We start from the raw sequence: 20,152 nt of genomic DNA, 5'->3' as shown, positions 1-20,152 counted from the left end.
CTACATTATGTTCTGACAAAACTCAAGCAGCATTGCCAAGACACCAATGGTGCCTGGTAAACACGGTTTTGGCAGAGTGCAGAGGGATTTTTCTCTACTGGCAACCAGGCAAATCCAGGTTTACAAATGTGCCACTCTTGGTTAATTAGTGACAGTGCTGGCTTTTAATTTAATTTAAAGCAATGTGAGAAAAAAATAAGGAAAAAAAAGTGGGTAAGCAAGCACACTAGTCTCACTGCTGGAGAAATGAAGTTACATAAGCATGAACGATCCAGGCCCGCGAAGAGCTTGATGGATGTGGTTGCTTCTGAAACACAAGAACATCTGGCTACACTGCACAGCTGAGGGGGAAAATAAAGAAGGGTCCAAATTCACGGACACATTTCTGTCAGAGACATCGGTAAACAGATGGCACTGGTTCCAAATAAAGTCCCATAGATATGCTGAGAGGTTTTGAAAACTCATGCGCCCATAAAGGCATTCTTTTTACCCCTTTATTTCCAGCTCAGTAACTTGTCATTAGCTCCTTCCCTATGCACTATCTTCAGAGCAGCGACATTTCTGAAGGCAGAGGCAGTAGCTGTCTGAAGAGGTTCTGTACTGTACTGTATTCTCAACCAAGTCTGACGGATGTGATGAGGAAGAACCATATACCACGATCTAGGGTTTCAGTCTAGGTGGGAACCGTACTGCTGCAAGAACCAAAATGCTCCAGATAAATGAAGGGCTAATAGATAGTAATGGCCAGCATTTATTGAACACTGAGTATCAGACATTGCTTGTATTATCTCATGTAATCGTCATTAGTTTTATATAGTGGCTACTATTATAATTTAAATTTTAAGGATGAAGTTCAGATACATTGGATACCTGAAGTTATCTAAGTAGTCAGCAGCAAGCTTAAAATTCATACTCTGGTCCCTGCTGGCAAAATAATAGGTTCCTAATTACTTCTCTGCCCTGCTTATGAATATTTTGGGAGAAATCATGTACTTTTCATTTGAGGCAGACAAGTCTCAGGCAATCAGAAGGTAAGATGCATCATTCAAAGCAGTAAGTTGCTGTAGTCTTTTGAACAGGGAATCATATATTGTTTAGCAAATATGTCTAGAATCTGAAATTTAAGAGATTTTTGCTTCTTTCTGTGATCTGCTTCTGGTCCAGAAACCTCTTACACATGGAGAGGGAAGGACAGAGTGCAGCAGCTGAGACTCCTTGGAAAGCCAGCAGAAGCCTGTGTCTGCTGGAGGACCTGCAAGCCTCCCATTATTATAACCGGAACCCCACGGGTTTTGCCCATTGCCCCCACTCAGCTGAAACCAATCAGGAACAGAGTTAGTACTCCTAGGAACAGAACATATCGAAGTTCACTTGTTGCCTTTGCTGTTCTAATAGGCAATCACGAATACCCACAAACATCAATGTCATCCATGAAGACGAGATACAATAGAAATTAAAAGCATTGGCTGGGCACAGTGGCTTATGTCTGTAATCCCAGCACTTTGGGAGGCCAAGGTGGGCGGATCACGAGGTCAAGAGATTGAGACCATCCTGGCCAGCATGGTGAAACCCTGTCTCTACTAAAAATACAAAAATTAGCCAGGCGCGGTGGCGTGCGCCTGTAGTCCCAGCTGCTTGGCAGGCTGAGGCAGGAGAATCGCTTGAACCTGGGAGGTGGAGGTTGCAGTGAACTGAGATTGTGCCACTGCCCTCCAGCCTGGTGACAGAGCGAGACTCTGTCTCAAAAAAGTAAAATAAAATAAAAGCACAAATATATACAGACTTAAACACCTTGAACACAATGATCTGCAGAGAATCTATGCAAACCTACAGTTCTGAAAATCAGACCAGATGCAGGCAACTGGTGATACTGAAGCAATGCATTTTTCATTAAGCATGACTCTAATGATGTAACTTTTTCATCAACCAAAGAGAATCTGGTAATAAGGCCATCTGCAGAAAAAGACATAAAAAGGCAAAGTAGTGACTGTATTATTGCATTACTTGTGCCATACAATTTATGAGACCCAGACTTGTGGTCCAAACTGATAGTGGAAATTACATAAGGCAAACGAGGATTTTGCATATTTTCTGATTTTCTGACTTCTGAAGCAGTGCAAAAATCCATATAATAATTTGGTTCTGTTTTGACTGTTTGCATCTACATTGGTTCACTGAAGTGGTAGAAGGTGGAGAATTAAGACTCATTTTTCAGTTGACAAAATTGAATTTTAGAACTAAAAGAAAAAAATACTTTTCTTTCAAGGCTCACATTGTTATACATGTAATAATACATGTGAGGATAACAAAATGCTTTATGAATTTATGTGGTATGAACTCAGAATACTGGTTATATAGTTTTAGTATGTTTATAATTTGTTGCTTCTATCTCTGTCTTCAGATTGGGCCCAGGAGTGATTGCTGATTACTGTATAGCCCATAGTGAGCTTGATGTTGGTCTAAACCCACTTGGGTGAAAGATTATTATGGGCACCCCTTACTGCACTAATACCAGGGAAACGACATCTGCAGGGAAGTCTGACACTGGGAAAAGGGCACTCTTTTGGAATGTGAGAAGTTCATTAGCTGCAAAACATCTTAGCTCAAAATTAACCCTAGTCTGTGGAAGGGTTCTAGATGGGGTGTGACAATACCAACAGTGATAATGATAACTGATAACATTTATTGGGTGCTTGTGTATGTTCAAGGCAATGTGCTCAACCCTTTATGGACATTGTGACTTCATCACAACAACTCTATTCAAGTAGTTCTGTAATTATTCTTTATCATCTGAGAAAGCTGAGGCCCAGAGAGGTTAAAACTTGCTCAAGAACAAACATTGCCAAAAACTAAGTCAGAAAATGATAGCTTCTAGATTCAAATTCTAATGCATCTGGTGCCAGAGCCCCTAAATTTAACTCTTATTTTTGCTGAGTGTATGGGAGATCTGGAAGCAGAGCAAACATATCATTTAACATCTTCTCAGGGACGTATTTGAAAGTGGAAGGAGGCACTATTGATAATTACACCAGGACAGCACGAAGCAGGATGTAAAACCATTCTACCTAAGAAGAGAACTGACATGAGACGTGCACCTGCCTGAGAGAGGAAATGACAAGTCTGGATGCACTTGGACATTAACATATGTCAACTGCTCCCAGATTTTAATATAAAAATTTTCAAAAGAGAGACTCCCATCACCAGATAGGCAGTTCCTCTTATCTGTTTGAGATGAATATGTGCTCAAAAAGTTAGCCTCTGTTTGCCTTTGCCTAGTATTTTTTAATACCTTTCTTTTAGTTTCATGTTATGCTGTCACAAGCATTTTTAAACATCAAGGACATTTTGCTGTTAAGTATTTGTTGCCTTTCTAGTTTAGGCTGGCATTCAAGTGAGCTGTTTTATGTAGACACTAAGGCAGAATTGCAAAATCCTTGCACCCAAATGACCATTTTCAAATGGTTTGGTTTTTAAAGTCTTGGCTGTAGTGAAAATATGCTCACAGCACTTGGTTTAAACTCTTAGGGATTCCAGTATACAGGAAACTGACTTTGGGAGAAATATTAAATATAGGATTATCAATTCTGTCTGTCCTTCTCACACATTGCCTTCCCCAAGGCAATATACATGTAACAGTAGCATTTCTTTTTAAGCAAGGCTCTAGTATCATGAAACTGCTATCACATCTGACACTATGGGCCACTTCCTTCTTTTCCTGAAACTTTGCTCTGATGATTTTCTGGCACTTTCCTCCTTCCCTCTTTCCTACTCCTCCTCTGTCATTTCTGCCTTCTTTCTCAGCCCCTCTGAATGTTGCCACTGTCCCTGGGTCTCACTACTGGCTTCCTGCTTCCGTTTCTCTCAATACAATTTGTCATTTGACAATCTCATTGATTTCATGGATTCAATAAATACTTTCAGGTAATACAAGACTCCCAAATCTATATTTCTAGCTCTAGCATTCTCTCCCAAACCCTAACACTCTATCTGTCTAAAATTCTCTATCAGGATTTCAGGATATTTCCTTCTGACATCTCAAATTCAATGCGTGCATCCGAAGCAGGTCTCACACCTCTCTTCTCTCAGCAGCCCCCACCAGTGTCCCATCTATCCCAGGCATGCCTCTTCCTTTGAGTTTCCTCTTTGCACAGGAAACAACTTACCTAGCCTCACAATCTTTGCATCCCTTTTTTTTTCCTCATACAAAATAATCCAAAATAAAATCAGTTGACACATTCTCTCAGGTCTACCATTCCAATACCTCTCAAATATAATATATCACTTTCTCTATTTTTGTCTAGCCAAAGTTGCACAGAACATTACTATCTTTCACCTGAAATATGCTAAGTGTTCTCTCCTATTCTTAATTCCTCCTTTCCATTCATGCTGTGTGGTAGCAAGATTCAACCGCTTTAAAAAAACCAGATTGGAGTATGCCATTTTTTTCTTCAAATTTCTATGCATGCAAAATATCCTATTCTGTTCACATTTCTCAGGCTGGCATCTAAGATTCAGTATAGATTTGACCCCACTTCATGATTCAGATCTTAGTTGACATGACATTTCTTCTGTGAGTCCCTCTCTGAGCCCATGGGTTGTGTAGCCCTGATCTGAGCTCTCCCAGCACCATCATAACCTGCATCGTGCTTTATCGCAAACACTCATTTACCTACTTATCTTCCCTTAGTCTTTCAAGTGTCTACAAGGACGGAGAGAACAGAATGCTTAGTCACCGTTATATTCCCAGTCCTGGCCTATGGGGGGAATTCAGTAAACATTTGTCAAATTAACAAATGAATGAATCTACTCACAGTAAACAAATAAATGGACCTATTCACTCTAAAGCTCTGTGGCTCTGGACAAAGTGACTCATTCTCCCCAGTTTAGCCTTTTATCTGTCTCAATGTGGTCCTTAGCTAGTCCTACCCACCAGTCTCCACATGACTAAACTCAACCTACTTTGACAGAAGTATAAGTGAAAATGCCCCTCTCTACTATGAAGTCGTCTTTGAGTCTCCCATAAGTGACCTGTTCCACTTCAAAACTCTTACAGTATTTTCTGTGTACCTCTTTTATGGTAGTGAGTTCTTTCCACTTCACAGCATGCATATTTTAATTCCCCAGTAGATCTGTAAGCTCTCTGAAGACAGAACCTTTGTTTGATTTGTTTTTAATCACCCTAAGTACCTAGTGTAATGCCTTTTAAAAAGAAGCTCAAAAGATCAATATTTATAGATCTAATGAATCAATGCATGGTTTCAATGACCTAATGAATTTCTTATATCCACAAATAAGACACTCTCTTACTTCAAACCATCAAATCAGTATTTCTCAGAACTGTTTTATACATTTTTATTGAAACAGATTCTCCATTAGAAAAAAGTGATGTCCCCTCCCTCAGTGATTTTGAGACTCGCACTTAGCTCCACAGTAAAGACCTTGTACACACAGTTGATTTCTCTGTGTGTGCATGTGTGTATGCATGCTGTCTGTATGCAAGTGTGTATACATTTTCAAAATATAAACTACAGGCAAAAAGTACAATGATCACAGATGTACAGTTTGGTAAATTTTTATATAGTGAGTATATCCATGTAACCAGCGCTCAAATAAAGAAACAGAAACAGCACACAGAAACTCCCTCATACTCCCTTGCAGTCATTAAGTTTCCAAAGACAACCATCATCTTGACTTCTAATCATATTAATTATGTTTTTCTGCTTTTAAGCTATATGTAGATGAAATACTAAAATATGTACATTTTTGTGCACGGTCCAACATTTCATTTACAAGATTCATCCATGTTGTTGTATGCAGTTGTAGTTTGTTCATGTTCATTGATGTACAGAATTTCATTGTATCAAGATTCCATAGTTGCTTTGTCCATTCTATAGTGGATGAACGTTTTGATTGTCTCCAGTTTGGGGCTATATGGGTAATGCTGCTATGAACATTTATGTTCTTTTTGTGAACACATTCATGTGTTTCAATAGGGCATATATTTAAGAGTGGAAAAATTGAATCAAAGCATGTATAGACCAGACTTTAGAAGATACTTCTAAACAGTTTTCCAAAATGACTGTTTTGATTTATACTCAACTACAGTGTATGAGAATTCCAGTTGTTCTGTAGCTTCATCAATGCATGACAAGGTCAATTATTAATTTCATTATTCTGGTGATATGGCATGATATCATATTGTGGTTTTAATGAGCTTTTCTCTGAGAAATGAAATTGAACATCTCACATTATTGGTTATTTGCATATCTTCTGTGGCATTCAACTTTCTTTGCCCATGAGGTTTTTTCTAAAATCATTTTTTATGGGTTTGTAAGAGTTCATTTTTACATATTTTAATATTAACTTCTTAGTTAGATACAGGTATTGCAAATATCTCCTCCCAGTTTGTGGCTTGCTGTGCATTCTCTTAAAGGAGTGGACTTGTTTTTCTGCTTCACTGATATTCAAGTTCAAGGACCATACCATATAAGTGTGATTAAAGAAACATTCTTTAGCTTGACAGATCTTACTTTAAGCAAAAGCTGCCTCTCCGTGCTGCCTAAGTTAGATGATAAGGAATATGTGTCAGCCTCCATGGCAGCTGGCAAGTGTCCTAAAAGTGCTTGTTCTCTAATCCCTGTGGGAGTCAATTTTTCTGGGTTCCACAGAATCACATAACACATAGAGGATGAAGTGAACTGAAGGGGCACCTGATATAGTACATCTAAACTGGGTTCCTCTGAGTTCTAGGGTCCCTTACATGTGAAGTTTAGGACTGAGAACGGAGAATGGGATATGGGGCTTTATGCCCCTTTTCAATTTATACAGCTACACATTTGTTTGATTCATTTAAGAGGGTTGCATGAGATTTCATTTGACAAAATTGGAACCCATGCTTGAAAACCTAAATCTTATTCAACTATCTAACATGGTGTCTGTCGAACAGTGCATTTCCATGTTTAGTTGATGGGTTAAATTGAGTTGCATTTAATTGATGAGAAAACTGAGCTCTGGAGAAGTTAAACAACATAGTAACTTTATACAGTGTATCTGGCATCTCCCATCCACTACATCAGTTCACCCATTGCTTTGGCCACTTCCATGCTCTGACGACTTCCATGCTGGCTTTGTCTAGGTTTGCACAGGCACAACAGGCAAAGCCCTACATGAAGCCCATACTACATACCTCATGGTTCCTGTTCAGGGACTTCTCTGATGGCTTGTATTGAATACCTCATGGAAATGAAACAAGAGAGTTCCCTGATTTCTCTTGCAGGACGTGTGACGGGGTGTCATTGCTTGGTCACCCTGCAGTTCATGCCCCCAGGGGAGCAGGCAGATGGGCAGGTGCAGAGGCCAACCTGAGTGCTTTGGGGCTCTGGCCCCATGGTAGCATCTAGAGGTGGGTGTCTGCAACTCCCGAAGCCCAAGTGGGCATGTGTTACCAACCTCTTTTAGATTTGCCATCTGCAGATGGCATATGTATTAATCAACTCAATAGATCCTCTGCCTTATCGCAAGGGCAGGGGGCCAGTGTGACAGTCTTCTGTATCCCGAGTCCTTGCCCAGTGTACCAGAAGAATTGGATCACACACTGGAAGGATGTGTGCAAAGTTTTATTGAGTGGTGGAGGCGGCTGTCAGTGAGATGGATGGGGAGCCAGAACCGGGGGATGGAGTGGGAAAGTGGGCTTCCCCTGGAATCAGGCCACCCAGTGGCCAGACTGTTCTCTGACTTCCCCTGGCTGAACTCCCCCTTGGCCTCCAGGCATCCCTCCTCTTCTCTGTTTCTCTGCCATGTTGTTCCACTGTCTGGTCTGCTGGTCCCAACGTTCAGCCACTTGTGTGTGTGCCTGCTAAGGTCTCATGGTGGGCCAAAAGTCAACTTTTGGGGTGCAAAAACAGAAATGCCTGTCCTCATTTAGGTCCACAGGTCTTCAGGCTTGAGGGTGGGGCCTTTGCCGGGGAACCACTCACTTCTACCCAGTATTTCCCTGTCTCCTGTCTATATCAGAAACACATCTAGTACTCACCTATGCATAAGCCAGAAATGTATGGGAGTTAACATGTACAGGTATCAGGTGACAGCAGGTAAATGCTTCACTCTTTTATACGTGGGTGGATAGTACGAGACCTATTTCATAAAGCTCCTGAAGAGATCTAGTGGGATGGAATTCTAGTTATCCTCTCTGGTTGCTAGCTTAATAATGCTTCCTTGAATTGGCTTTTTTTTTTTTTTTCCTATTTCATTATCTCTTCCCTGTGTACTTGGTCCCTGCCACAGCACTCTCCAGTAAACAACCTCAACAACCTCACATGAGACATGGTCTCAGTCTGCTTTCAGAGACCCAGACTAAGACACATACCTATTAAGTTAGGAGAAGACCCAAATATTGGACTTTAGCTCTATAGATTTAAAATGCATTTTCTGCTCCTCTGGCCCAGAAGGTGTGAGCTTTGCAAAAAATTATAATGTTCTTATTTTATTATCTCTCTAAGGAACATCACACCTAGTAGTAGAATTAAGCAAACAAAAACCAGTGTCACTGGTTACTACTCACTTTTCCCCCCATGAGAGAATGCAATAACCAGTGTCTGGAAAACTTAGAAACACATGTAATATCCATGTGTATGTATACATAATATCCACCAAATGCTTTTCAGTAGAGATGATGCTATGGAAAAAGAATATATTACAGCACAAAGTGCAGATTTGGACTGCTACCATTGTGGGATTAAACCTTAAATATTCAGTCTGTGGTTAACTATGATAATTAGAGCAGAATGTACTTATTAACACAGACAAAAAAGGAATACTAAACTGAGAAGATATGAAGAACTCTTTACTGGACGTCCAAATACCACAGAGATAATCAGGAATAGACATCAATGAACATGAACCTGACTGAAAACCCAATCTGCCACATCACATGGCCAAACCATCATTATTTCAGAGAAGAGTACTCTAAAAACAAACACTTACTGTGCCCCTAACTTGTGCCAGACACTGTCTTAGTGTTTCCCTCATATACTATCACCCCCCACAGGCATCCTTTACAATGATATGAGTAATAACATAATTATAAGAATAGTAGCTCTCTATCCTCTTTTATTACATATATAGATACCAAGCACTATTTTAAACATTTAAAACCATATGTTATTTAATATTCATGGCGACCTTATGAGGTAAGCACCCTTATTACTGCTACTTTTCAGATGACAAAATTAAGGCTTACAAGACTTGCTGTCCCGTGCCTGGTGAGGGAGAGAAACAGATAATGGGCCCAGGTCTGTAACTTGAAACCTGGAGTTCTTACATTCAGATTACTTCTAGAACTTCAACGACTTTTACTTCTCACATGGACATCCAGGTATTAGTCAGCCCTGTCTCAGATCTTTCATTCTAACATATTTCAGTCACAAATCTTTGCTGCAAAAGTGTGTTCCTCATCTCCCCGATCACCTAATTGTGGGTCAGTTTTGCTATCTATTGCCCTACATTTCCTAGGAATCTCAGCTATTCTCTGGGCCACCCTATCCTCTGAGATATCACTCTCATCATTAGTACTTGGTGAAAATCTGCTCATTAACATGGGCAAATGGATTTTCTTTTCAAAAAATTTTTTAATTTTATTATTATTATACTTTAAGTTTTAGGGTACATGTGCACAATGTGCATGTTTGTTACATATGTATACATGTGCCATGTTGGTGTGCTGCACCCATTAACTCGTCATTTAGCGTTAGGTATATCTCCTAATGCTATCCCTCCCCCCTCCCCCACCCCACAACAGTCCCCAGAGTGTGATGTTCCCCTTCCTGTGTCCATGTGTTCTCATTGTTCAATTCCCACCTATGAGTGAGAACATGCAGTGTTTGGTTTTTTGTCCTTGCGATAGTTTGCTGAGAATGATGGTTTCCAGTTTCATCCACATCCCTACAAAGGACATGAACTCTTCATTTTTTATGGCTGCATAGTATTCCATGGTATATATGTGCCACATTTTCTTAATCCAGTCTGTCATTGTTGGACATTTGGGTTGGTTCCAAGTCTTTGCTATTGTGAATAGTGCCTCAATAAACATACATGTGCATGTGTCTTTATAGCAGCATGATTTATAATCCTTTGGGTATATACCCAGTAATGGGATGGCTGGGTCAAATGGTATTTCTAGTTCTAGATCCCTGAGGAATCTCCACACTGACTTCCACAATGGTTGAACTAGTTCACAGTCCCACCAACAGTGTAAAAGTGTTCCTATTTCTCCACATCCTCTCCAGCACCTCTTGTTTCCTGACTTTTTAATGATTGCCATTGTAACTGGTGTGAGGTGGTATCTCATTGTGGTTTTGATTTGCATTTCTCTGATGGCCAGTGATGATGAGCATTTTTTCATGTGTTTTTTGGCTACATAAATGTCTTCTTTTGAGAAGTGTCTGTTCATATCCTTTGCCCACTTTTTGATGGGGTTGTTTGTTTTTTTCTTGTAAATTTGTTTGAGTTCACTGTAGATTCTGGATATTGGCCCTTTGTGAGAGGAGTAGGCTGCAAAAATTTTCTCCCATTTTGTAGGTTGCCTGTTCACTCTGATGGTAGTTTCTTTTGCTGTGCAGAAGCTCTTTAGTTTAATTAGATCCCATTTCTCAATTTTGTCTTTTGTTGCCATTGCTTTTGGTGTTTTAGATATGAAGTCCTTGCCCATGCCTATGTCCTGAATGGTATTGCCTAGGTTTTCTTCTAGGGTTTTTATGATTTTAGGTCTAACATATAAGTCTTTAATCCATCTTCCATTAATTTTTGTATAAGGTGTAAGGAAGGTTTCCAGTTTCAGCTTTCTACATATGACCAGCCAGTTTTCCCAGCACCATTTATTAAATAGGGAATCCTTTCCCCATTGCTTGCTTTTCTCAGGTTTGTCAAAGATCAGATGGTTATAGATATGTGGCAGTATTTCTGAGAGCTCTGTTCTGTTCCATTGATCTATATCTCTGTTTTGGTACCAATACCATGCTGTTTTGGTTACTGTAGACTTGTAGTATAGTTTGAAGTCAGGTAGCGTGATGCCTCCAGCTTTGTTCTTTTGGCTTAGGATTGACTTGGCGATGCAGGCTCTTTTTTGGTTCCATATGAACTTTAAAGTAGTTTTTTCCAATCCTGTGAAGAAAGTCATTGGTAGCTTCATGGGGATGGCATTGAATCTATAAATTACCTTGGGCAGTATGGCCATTTTCATGATATTGATTCTTCCTACCCATGAGCATGGAATGTTCTTCCATTTGTTTGTATCCTCTTTTATTTCATTGAGCAGTGGTTTGTAGTTCTCCTTGAAGAGGTCCTTCACATCCCTTGTAAGTTGGATTCCTAGGTATTTTATTCTCTTTGAAGCAATTGTGAATGGGAGTTCACTCATGATTTGGCTCTCTGTTTGTGTGTTATTGGTGTATAAGAATGCTTGTGATTTTTGTACATTGATTTTGTATCCTGAGACTTTGCTGAAGTTGCTCATCAGCTTAAGGAGATTTTGGGCTGAGATGATGGGGTTTTCTAGATATACAATCATGTCTTCTGCAAACAGGGACAATTTGACTTCCTCTTTTCCTAATTGAATACCCTTTATTTCCTTCTCCTGCCTGATTGCCCTGGCCAGAACTTCCAACACTATGTTGAATAGGAGTGGTGAGAGAGGGCATCCCTGTCTTGTGCCAGTTTTCAAAGGGAATGCTTCCAGTTTTTGCCCATTCAGTATGATATTGGCTGTGGGTTTGTCATAGATAGCTCTTATTATTTTGAGATACGTCCCATCAATACCTAATTTATTGAGAGTTTTTAGCATGAAGGTTGTTGAATTTTGTCAAAGGCCTTTTCTGCATCTATTGAGATAATCATGTGGTTTTTGTCTTTGGTTCTGTTTATATGCTGGATTACATTTATTGATTTGTGTATGTTGAACCAGGCTTGCATCCCAGGGATGAAGGCCACTTGATCATGGTGGATAAGCTTTTTGATGTGCTGCTGGATTCGGTTTGCCAGTATTTTACTGAGGATTTTTGCATCAATGTTCATCAAGGATATTGGTCTAAAATTCTCTTTTTTTGTTGTGTCTCTGCCAGGCTTTGGTATCAGGATGATGCTAGCCTCATAAAATGAGTTAGGGAGGATTCCCTCTTTTTCTATTGATCGGAATAGTTTCAGAAGGAATGGTACCAGCTCCTCCTTGTACCTCTGGTAGAATTCGGCTATGAATCCATCTGGTCCTGGGCTTTTTTTGGTTGGTAAGCTATTGATTATTGCCACAATTTCAGAGCCTGTTATTGGTCTATTCAGAGATTCAACTTCTTCCTGGTTTAGTCTTGGGAGGGTGTATGTGTCAAGGAATTTATCCATTTCTTCTAGATTTTCTAGTTTATTGGGCAAATGGATTTTCATTCATCCTGCACAGCTAGGCTTTGAAACGTAGGCCTTTTTTTAAGGAGATTTCTTCATCCTAGAGAAACCTAATATTTACACTTGCAATCCTTTATCATTTATTTGTGCTTTAGGTCTCTCAGAATCTGCTTCCATTTTTAAGATTGCTATTGTGATGTATCATAAATAATCTCTGATGCAAAAGTTCCCTTATTTGCCAAGTAGCCATTCTCAATAATGTTATTGAGGTTATGTTCCATAGTTTTAAAAATACTCTATTTTAGGAGTCACTTCCAAGTCCCAAAGTCTCCTCTTTCTGCAAGCATATGACAGAGACACATTAAGGCACATTCTTTTATATATCACCTTTCCTAGAGCAACAAAATGCCATGATTTTTAAAATAAACTTTCTATTTTAGACTAGTTTTATGTTTACAGAAAAATGTTAAAGAGAGAACAGAGAGTTCCCACATACCCAGTACCAGAAAGATCACAGAAGTTAAAACGCTATTTACATCACATCATATGAAATGTACATACTATCAATATGACTTACCGCTGTTGATGTTGACCTTGGCCCTTTAGCTTAGACAGTGTTTCTTAGGCTTCACCTGTTAGTAAAGTCAAATATAGTATGGCACATTTGTTACGTTAATGAACCAATATTGATACTTTGATATTAACTTAAGTCCATACTTAATACAGATTTAGTTTTGTCCTTTTGCTATTCCAAAATCTCAATATCTCATACAGGCTACCACATTACATTTAATCATTTAATTGTCATGTTTTCTTTTTTTTCTTTTTCCTTTCTTTTCTTTTTTTTCTTTTTTGAGACAGAGTCTCACTCTGCCACCCAGGTTGGAATGCAATGGCATGTTCTCAGTTCATTGTAACTTACGCCTCCCAGGTTCAAGCAATTCTCCTGCCTCAGCCTCTTAAGTAGCTGGGATTACAGGGGTCCACCACCATGCCTAGCTAACTTTTTTGTGTTTTTAGTAGAGGTGGGGTTTCGCCACGTTGGTCAGACTGCTCTGGAACTCCTGACCTCGTGATCCGCCCACCTTGGCCTCCCAAAGTGCTGGGATTACAGGCGAGAGCCACCGCGCCTGGCAAATTGTCGTGTTTTCTTAGGCTCCTCTTGGCTGCTATAGTTTCTCAGACTTACATTTTTTTGATGACCTTGACAGTTTTGAGGAGTACCTGTCTGGATATTTTGTTAAATGTCCCTCAATTGGGATTTGGCTGGTGTTTCTTTTTCATGATTAGCTTAGGGTTATACATTTTAGAGAGGAAGATCACAGAAGTAAAGAGTCATTTTCATCACATCATATCAAATGTACAGACAAGCAAAATGACTTATCACTATTGATGTTGACCTTGATCATCTGTCCAAGTAGCGTTTGTCAGGTTTCTCCATTATAACATAACTGTTTTTCCCCTTTTCCATACTGTACTCTTTGGAAGGAAGTAACTGTGCATAGCCCACACTTAAGGAGTGAACAGCTATGCTCCCCTTCATGTAGGGTGGAGTATCTAAATAATTTACTTGAAATTCTTCTACATGGGTGATTTGTCTTTTCTCCCCCATTTATTGATTTATTGAATCATTTGTATCCACTCACAGACATAATACTTATTTAATACCTTGGGCTATAAATACTGCGTTTCTTATGCTCCCATTGTTCCAGGTTGACCATTGAGAGCTCCTTCTGTTGTCCTTGTAATATAACTTCATCATTATGGGTTTTTAGTTTGTTTGTTTGTTTGTTTTGCTTTTAGTACTTCTTCATTTCTGAGCAACAAAGTGCCATGATGCTTGAGGTCATTTTGTATATTTCCAGCCCCGGTGCTCAAATCAGCCATTTCTCCAAGTCCTGCTTACCTTTACTAGAGAATGGTATTAGACACCAAGATCTTGGTGCTAGGTGTGCTTGTCACTAACTCGTTTGTTTGCCTCAACTGACGGAAAAGGAAAATACATGTCTGTATACTTACCCCTATATATATACATATTTATAAATATTACTATTCATAACCATCTGTTTATTAAGCTAAACATGAGTTGATACTGAATTATCCAAATCTAACCTATTACCACATGGATCATTCTAGCTTCCTCCCCTTGCTTATCTATAGATTTCTACTCCAGCAGTGAGAAACTTGGCTACCACCATCTGCCATCCATTTACTTCACTGTTCAGTGTCAGTGTACATGTATAGCAATAACAGAATAAATAACCCATACTCCCATGCAAAACAACTTTATCATCTAAAGTATAGAGCATTGCCATGTTTTTTAAATGTATGTATGAAAAAATAATTCTTTTATTTATTTTTTATTTTTTTGAGACGGAGTCTCGCTCTGCTGCCCAGGCTAGAGTGCAGTGGTGCGATCTCAGCTCACTTCAAGCTCCGCCTCCCGGGTTCACGCCATTCTCCTGCCTCAGCCTCCTGAGTAGCTGGGACTACAGGCACCCGCCACCATGCCTGCCTAATTTTTTGTAATGAAAAAATAATTCTAAGGGGCTCTCTCCATTTTTTTACCGTTGATTTCTAAATTTTGTTCACTTTACAAGTGAAACAAAAACTACACACCAGAAAAAAAAAAACAAACAGAAATTATCTAGAAAAAGTCTTAGGAAAGAGTAAAACTGAAGCCCACAAATACAAATAGAGTTGGTACCTCAGGACTATGAGAGGAGTGAGTGCAATTTCAGATACGACTTTAACAACCCCAGCACAGGGAGCTGTGTTGCTGTCTTTGAGTACAGCACAAAGCTATCTTTGATTGACAGGCTATCTGAAAGCTGGTGGCAGGCAACAATAGCCCTTTACTTTCTTTCTTCAGTACCCCGACTTGAGAAACAACTCCAGGCTCACCTTTATCTTTGCTAAGTGAATGCAGAGGATAAAACGAGAAATTCTTTTTTTAAAAAGAAAAAAAAAGCTTTAGTTTTTAAAGCCATTTTGAGTTCACAGCAAAAACTGTATACAGAGTACACAGAGTTCCCCCATACAGCCTGCCCTCACACAAGCACAGCCTCTCCTACTATCAACATCTTGTATCACAGTCACACATTTGTTATAATTGATAAACCTACACTGACACATTGCTGTCACCCCAAATCCATAGTTTACATTAGGGTTCACTCTTGGTGTTGTACATTCTAGGGATTTTACAACTGTATAATGGCATGTACTCACCTATTCAGTATCATACAGAGCAGCTTTACTGGCCAAAAAATCCTCTGCGTCCTGCCTATGCCTCCCTTTCTCCTGCTTAATCCCTGGCAAACAGTCACCTTTTTACTACCTTCACAGTTTTATCTTTTCCAGAATGTCATATAATTGGAATTATATAGCATTTGGCTTTTTTAAGATTGGCTTCTTTCTCTTAGTAATATGCATTTACATTTCTTCCATGTGTTTTTATAGCTTATTTCCTTTTTGCAATAAATAATATTCCATCATCTGGATGTACCACAGTTTATTTATCCATTCACTACTGAAGATCGTCTTGCTTCCAAGTTTTGACAGTTACCAGTAAAGCTGCTGTAAACATCTATGTGCAGGTTTTTGTGTAGATATAAGTGTTCAGTTCATTTGGGTAAATACCAAGGAGCACAACTGCTGGATTATATGGTAAGTTTGTTTCATTTTATAAAGAAACTGCCAAACTGTCTTCCAGAGTGGCTGTACCTTTTTGTATTCCCACCTGTAATGAATGAGAGTTCCTGTTGCTCCACCTCTATCCTAAGTGTTGTCAGTGTTTTGGATTTTAGTTCTTCTATGTGTGTGGTGATAATTCATTGTTTTTTTTTTTTTAATTTGCATGATGTTTTAATGCCATGATGTTGAACATCTTTTTATATGCTTATTGCCATCTGTATATCTTTTTTGGTAAAGTGTCTGTTTATATCTTTGGCCCATTGTCTTTTGGTTGTTTGTTTCTTATTGTTGAGATTTAAGAGTTCTTTGTACAATTTGGATAAGTCTATTATCAGATATGTCTTTTGCAAATAGTTTCTCCCAATTTCAAGCTTGTCTTTTCATTCTCTTAACAGTGTCTTTTGCAGAACAGATTTTTTTTTTATTTCAATGAAGTCTAACCTTTGTTATTTCTTTAATGAATCACTTACTTGATGTTATATCTAAAACATCATTTCTAAACCAAGGTCATCTTGGTTTTCTCCTACGTTATCTTCCAGGAGTTTTATTGCTTTGCATTTTACATTTAGGTTATAGTTCATTTTTAGGTAATTTTTGTGAAGGTATAAGGTTTGTAACTGTATTCACTATTTGCCATGTGGATGTTGAGTTGTTCCAGTACCATTTGTTGGGAAGACTAGCTTTTCTCCATTGTTTTGCCTTTGCTAGTTTGTCAAAGATCAGTTGACTATATTTATGTGGATCTATTTTGGAGCTCTCTATTCTGTCCCGTAGGCCTATTTGTTTATTTTTTTGCCAGTGCCAAACTGCCTTGATTACTGTAGCTTTGTCTTGAAGTTGGATAGTGCCAGTCTCCCAACTTTGTTCTCCTTCCATATAGGCTCTGTTTTAGGCCAATTCCTTCTGAATATAGTGCAAAGGCATTTAACCATATTCTCTTTTTCTCTTTCTAGCTTTTCACGTTTCCTACAGTATTTGTCTTGGGAATAACTGACAAAATGGTATTCTGCCTTTTTTTTCTCTCAGCCTCAAGAAATTTGATATTAGAGACATTTCTCTGTTAATTCTTCTGATAGGAAGAAGCTGGTCTAACAAGGTGGGTGAGACAAAGAGACCTAGAGAGACAGAGAGATAGAGAGACCGACTTCCTGGATGCTCCTGTAGTGATTCCAGATACTTTCTTCCTGGAAGATGCCAGGCAAATGAGCTCCACTGAGCATGCGTCTTTCTTAGGCCAGACCCTCTCCTGTGACCACTAGGAATTAGATAAATAGTTGTAAACGCTGACTGGTGAAAAGTGCTTTTTGCTACATAAAGTTCAAAAATAAGGAAATATTGCAAAAAGAAGATTCCACAAAATCTGAAGTATATTTTCCTAATGTTGGTCACATAGGAAAAAATGAAAATGTAGTTTTAAAAAAACTATAAATATAATGTGTATATTGTTCTAATTAGAAAAAATGTCCTTCAAATATTTAGTAGTATTTGAAATAGACATTTTTTTTTTCATTTTACTTTAAGTTCTGGGATACATGTGCAGAATGCGCAGGTTTGTTACATAGGTACACATGTGCCATGGTGGTTTGCTGCACCTATCAACTCATCATCTAGGTTTTAAGTCCCACATGCATTAGGTATTTGTCCTAATGCTCTCCCTCCCCTTGCCCACCACCCCCAACAGGCCCCGGTGTGTGATGTTCCCTTTCCTGTGTCCATGTGTTCTCATTGTTCAGCTCCCACTTATAAGTGAGAACATGTGGTGTTTGGTTTTCTGTTCCTGTGTTAGTTTGCTGGGAATGATGGTTTCCAGCTTCATCCATGTCCCTGCAAAGGACATGAACTCATTCTTTTTTATGGCTGCATTGTATTCCACAAAATAGGCTTTAAAAAAATTTACAATGCTTGAGGCTAAAGTAGGTACTTCAAGACTGCCTTGTTACATCAATGAGATCCATTTAATAATCATATTTTAGAATACTTTAGTGAAAATATAATTTTTATTGTCATCAAATTTTTAAATATTCAACACAAGCAATTTTCATTTTTGTTAATTTTCCTAGTAAAAGTGGATACTTCAGACATATGCTTTCTTTCAATCATGGAAGCACATTCAAATTGTTTTGTTTTAGTAACATAGAATTAAGAAAGTTACTCGTATTTCATTTAAAATGAATAGTGCATTTCTGAATGCAAAGAGCTATCAATAAGAAAGGTAAGAAATGTGCTTAATTTTCTAGAATACCTGAAACAGCACAGGTATATTTACAAGGTCTCCACTAAGAATCTTGTAAGTAATATTGTTACAGGTTTTAGAAATGAAATCTTCATTTGGAAAAAGTGTCCTTAGAAAGTATTTATTTATAAGTAATGAAGAGGACTAGATAGAATCATTCTTGAAGAGCAGTAATCCACAAAACAAAACTACTTGGTACTATTTTTAAAATTGGTATAACATGCATTTTCTATTCAATAGGAGATGATTATTATTTGGAAAGTTTTGCCTCCCAGCACTTTCTGAGTCATTATCATTACATATATAAGTGTACCTTACAGAAGAAGAGAGTTCACATGATAGTTGTCATTGCTTATGTACTATTCTTGTTTCTTGTTTTTGGCCTAGTCCTTGGTCTTACCAAATTTGTTTGAAGCAACTTACTCTGGAATGCATCCTGGAAAAGTGTCTAATCCAATATTGCTCTATAGCACTACTCTTCTCTCTCAGATTAATCAAACACACCTTCACACTCTACCACAGATTTTACACAATAATAGGATTATCTTGCAATTTATCATTCAAATGGGGGCAATTTTGAACATGAAAAGGATGTGTTAAGTATTACTTTGGGACAACAGCCACGAACTGGACATGTCATATAAATGGAATATACAACATGTAGTCTTACGTTTCTGGTTTCTTTCACTTAGCATAATGCTGTCAAGGTTCATCCATATATCAGTACTTCTTTCCTTTTTCGTGCTGAGTAACATTTCATTGTATGACTAAGCGTTTTGTTTCTCCAGTCATCAGTTGTTACACACTTGGGTTGTTTCTACATTTTGGCTGTTATAAGTAATCCAGCTACGTACCAAGTGTACATATTTTTGTGCAAAGCTGTGTTTTCAATCCTGATGGTACATACTGAGGAGTATAATTCCTGAATCTTATGATCATTCTACATTTAACTTTCTGAGAAACTGCAAAAAATGTTTTCCACAGTGGCTGTATGATTTTACATGTCCACAGGCAATGTATGAGAGTTCTAACATATTTTCAGGGTCCCCAACATTTGTTCATTTGTTTAAACTATAACCTTCTCAGTAAGTATAAATTGGCATTGCATTTTGGGTTGAATTTGCATTTTCCTAATGTCCAATGATATTGAACACCTTTTCATAAGCTTATCCACCATTTGTATATTTTTATAGAAATGTCTACTCACGCCTTTTGCTCATTGTTAAAAACTTGTTTAAATTTATTTTTATTATTGAGTTGTAAGAATTCTGTATATATTCAGGATATTTGACCTTTATCAGATATATGATTTGCAAATACTTTCTTCCAGTTTTACCATTTTCACTTGCTTGATAGTATCCATTAAAGTAGAAAAAGTTTAACTTTTATTTCCTGGGTCATTTTTAAATGGTATTTTCTTAGTGGTGCCCTGGGGATTACCATGACAACTTCATTTATAACAATGTATTTTGGATTAACACCAACCTAATTTCAATAGTATACAAAAGCTTTGCTTCTATAAAGTTCTATTTCCTGTCTCTTTCATGCTGTTATTTTCACAAATTTCATCTTTTTACATTGTGTGTCCATCAACTTAGACTTACAATTTTTGATTTATGCAGTTGTCTTTTAAATCAGATACAAGAAAAAAAAGGGTTACGAACAGAATATACATTTTACTGTCATTTATGTTTACCTATGTCAGTATCTCTACTAGTGTTCTTTATTTTCTTTACGTGTATTCAAGTTACTGTCTCGTGTTCTTTCTCTTCAGCCTGAAGGACTCTTTTCAATGTTTCCTAGAGGGCAGGTCTGCTAGTAGCAAACTCTCTTCATGTT

At 38.2% G+C, this 20,152-nt stretch overlaps 1 long non-coding RNA gene across 1 annotated transcript in view; it reads left to right on the top strand.

The window, feature by feature from the left end:
- Positions 1-20,152, top strand: part of LOC101928519 (uncharacterized) — a 111,938-nt gene that overhangs the window by 37,991 nt on the left and 53,795 nt on the right. Inside the window, exon 6 of the long non-coding RNA NR_110860.1 lies at positions 15,847-16,053. This is a non-coding gene — a long non-coding RNA (uncharacterized LOC101928519). The remainder of the gene's footprint in view (positions 1-15,846; positions 16,054-20,152) is intronic.

The sequence above is a fragment of the Homo sapiens genome, chromosome 6, assembly GCF_000001405.40.
Source record: "Homo sapiens chromosome 6, GRCh38.p14 Primary Assembly".
Taxonomy (NCBI): Eukaryota; Metazoa; Chordata; class Mammalia; order Primates; family Hominidae; genus Homo; species Homo sapiens.
The sequence above is the reverse complement of the archived record's forward strand: the minus strand, read 5'-3'. Positions and strand labels throughout refer to the sequence as shown.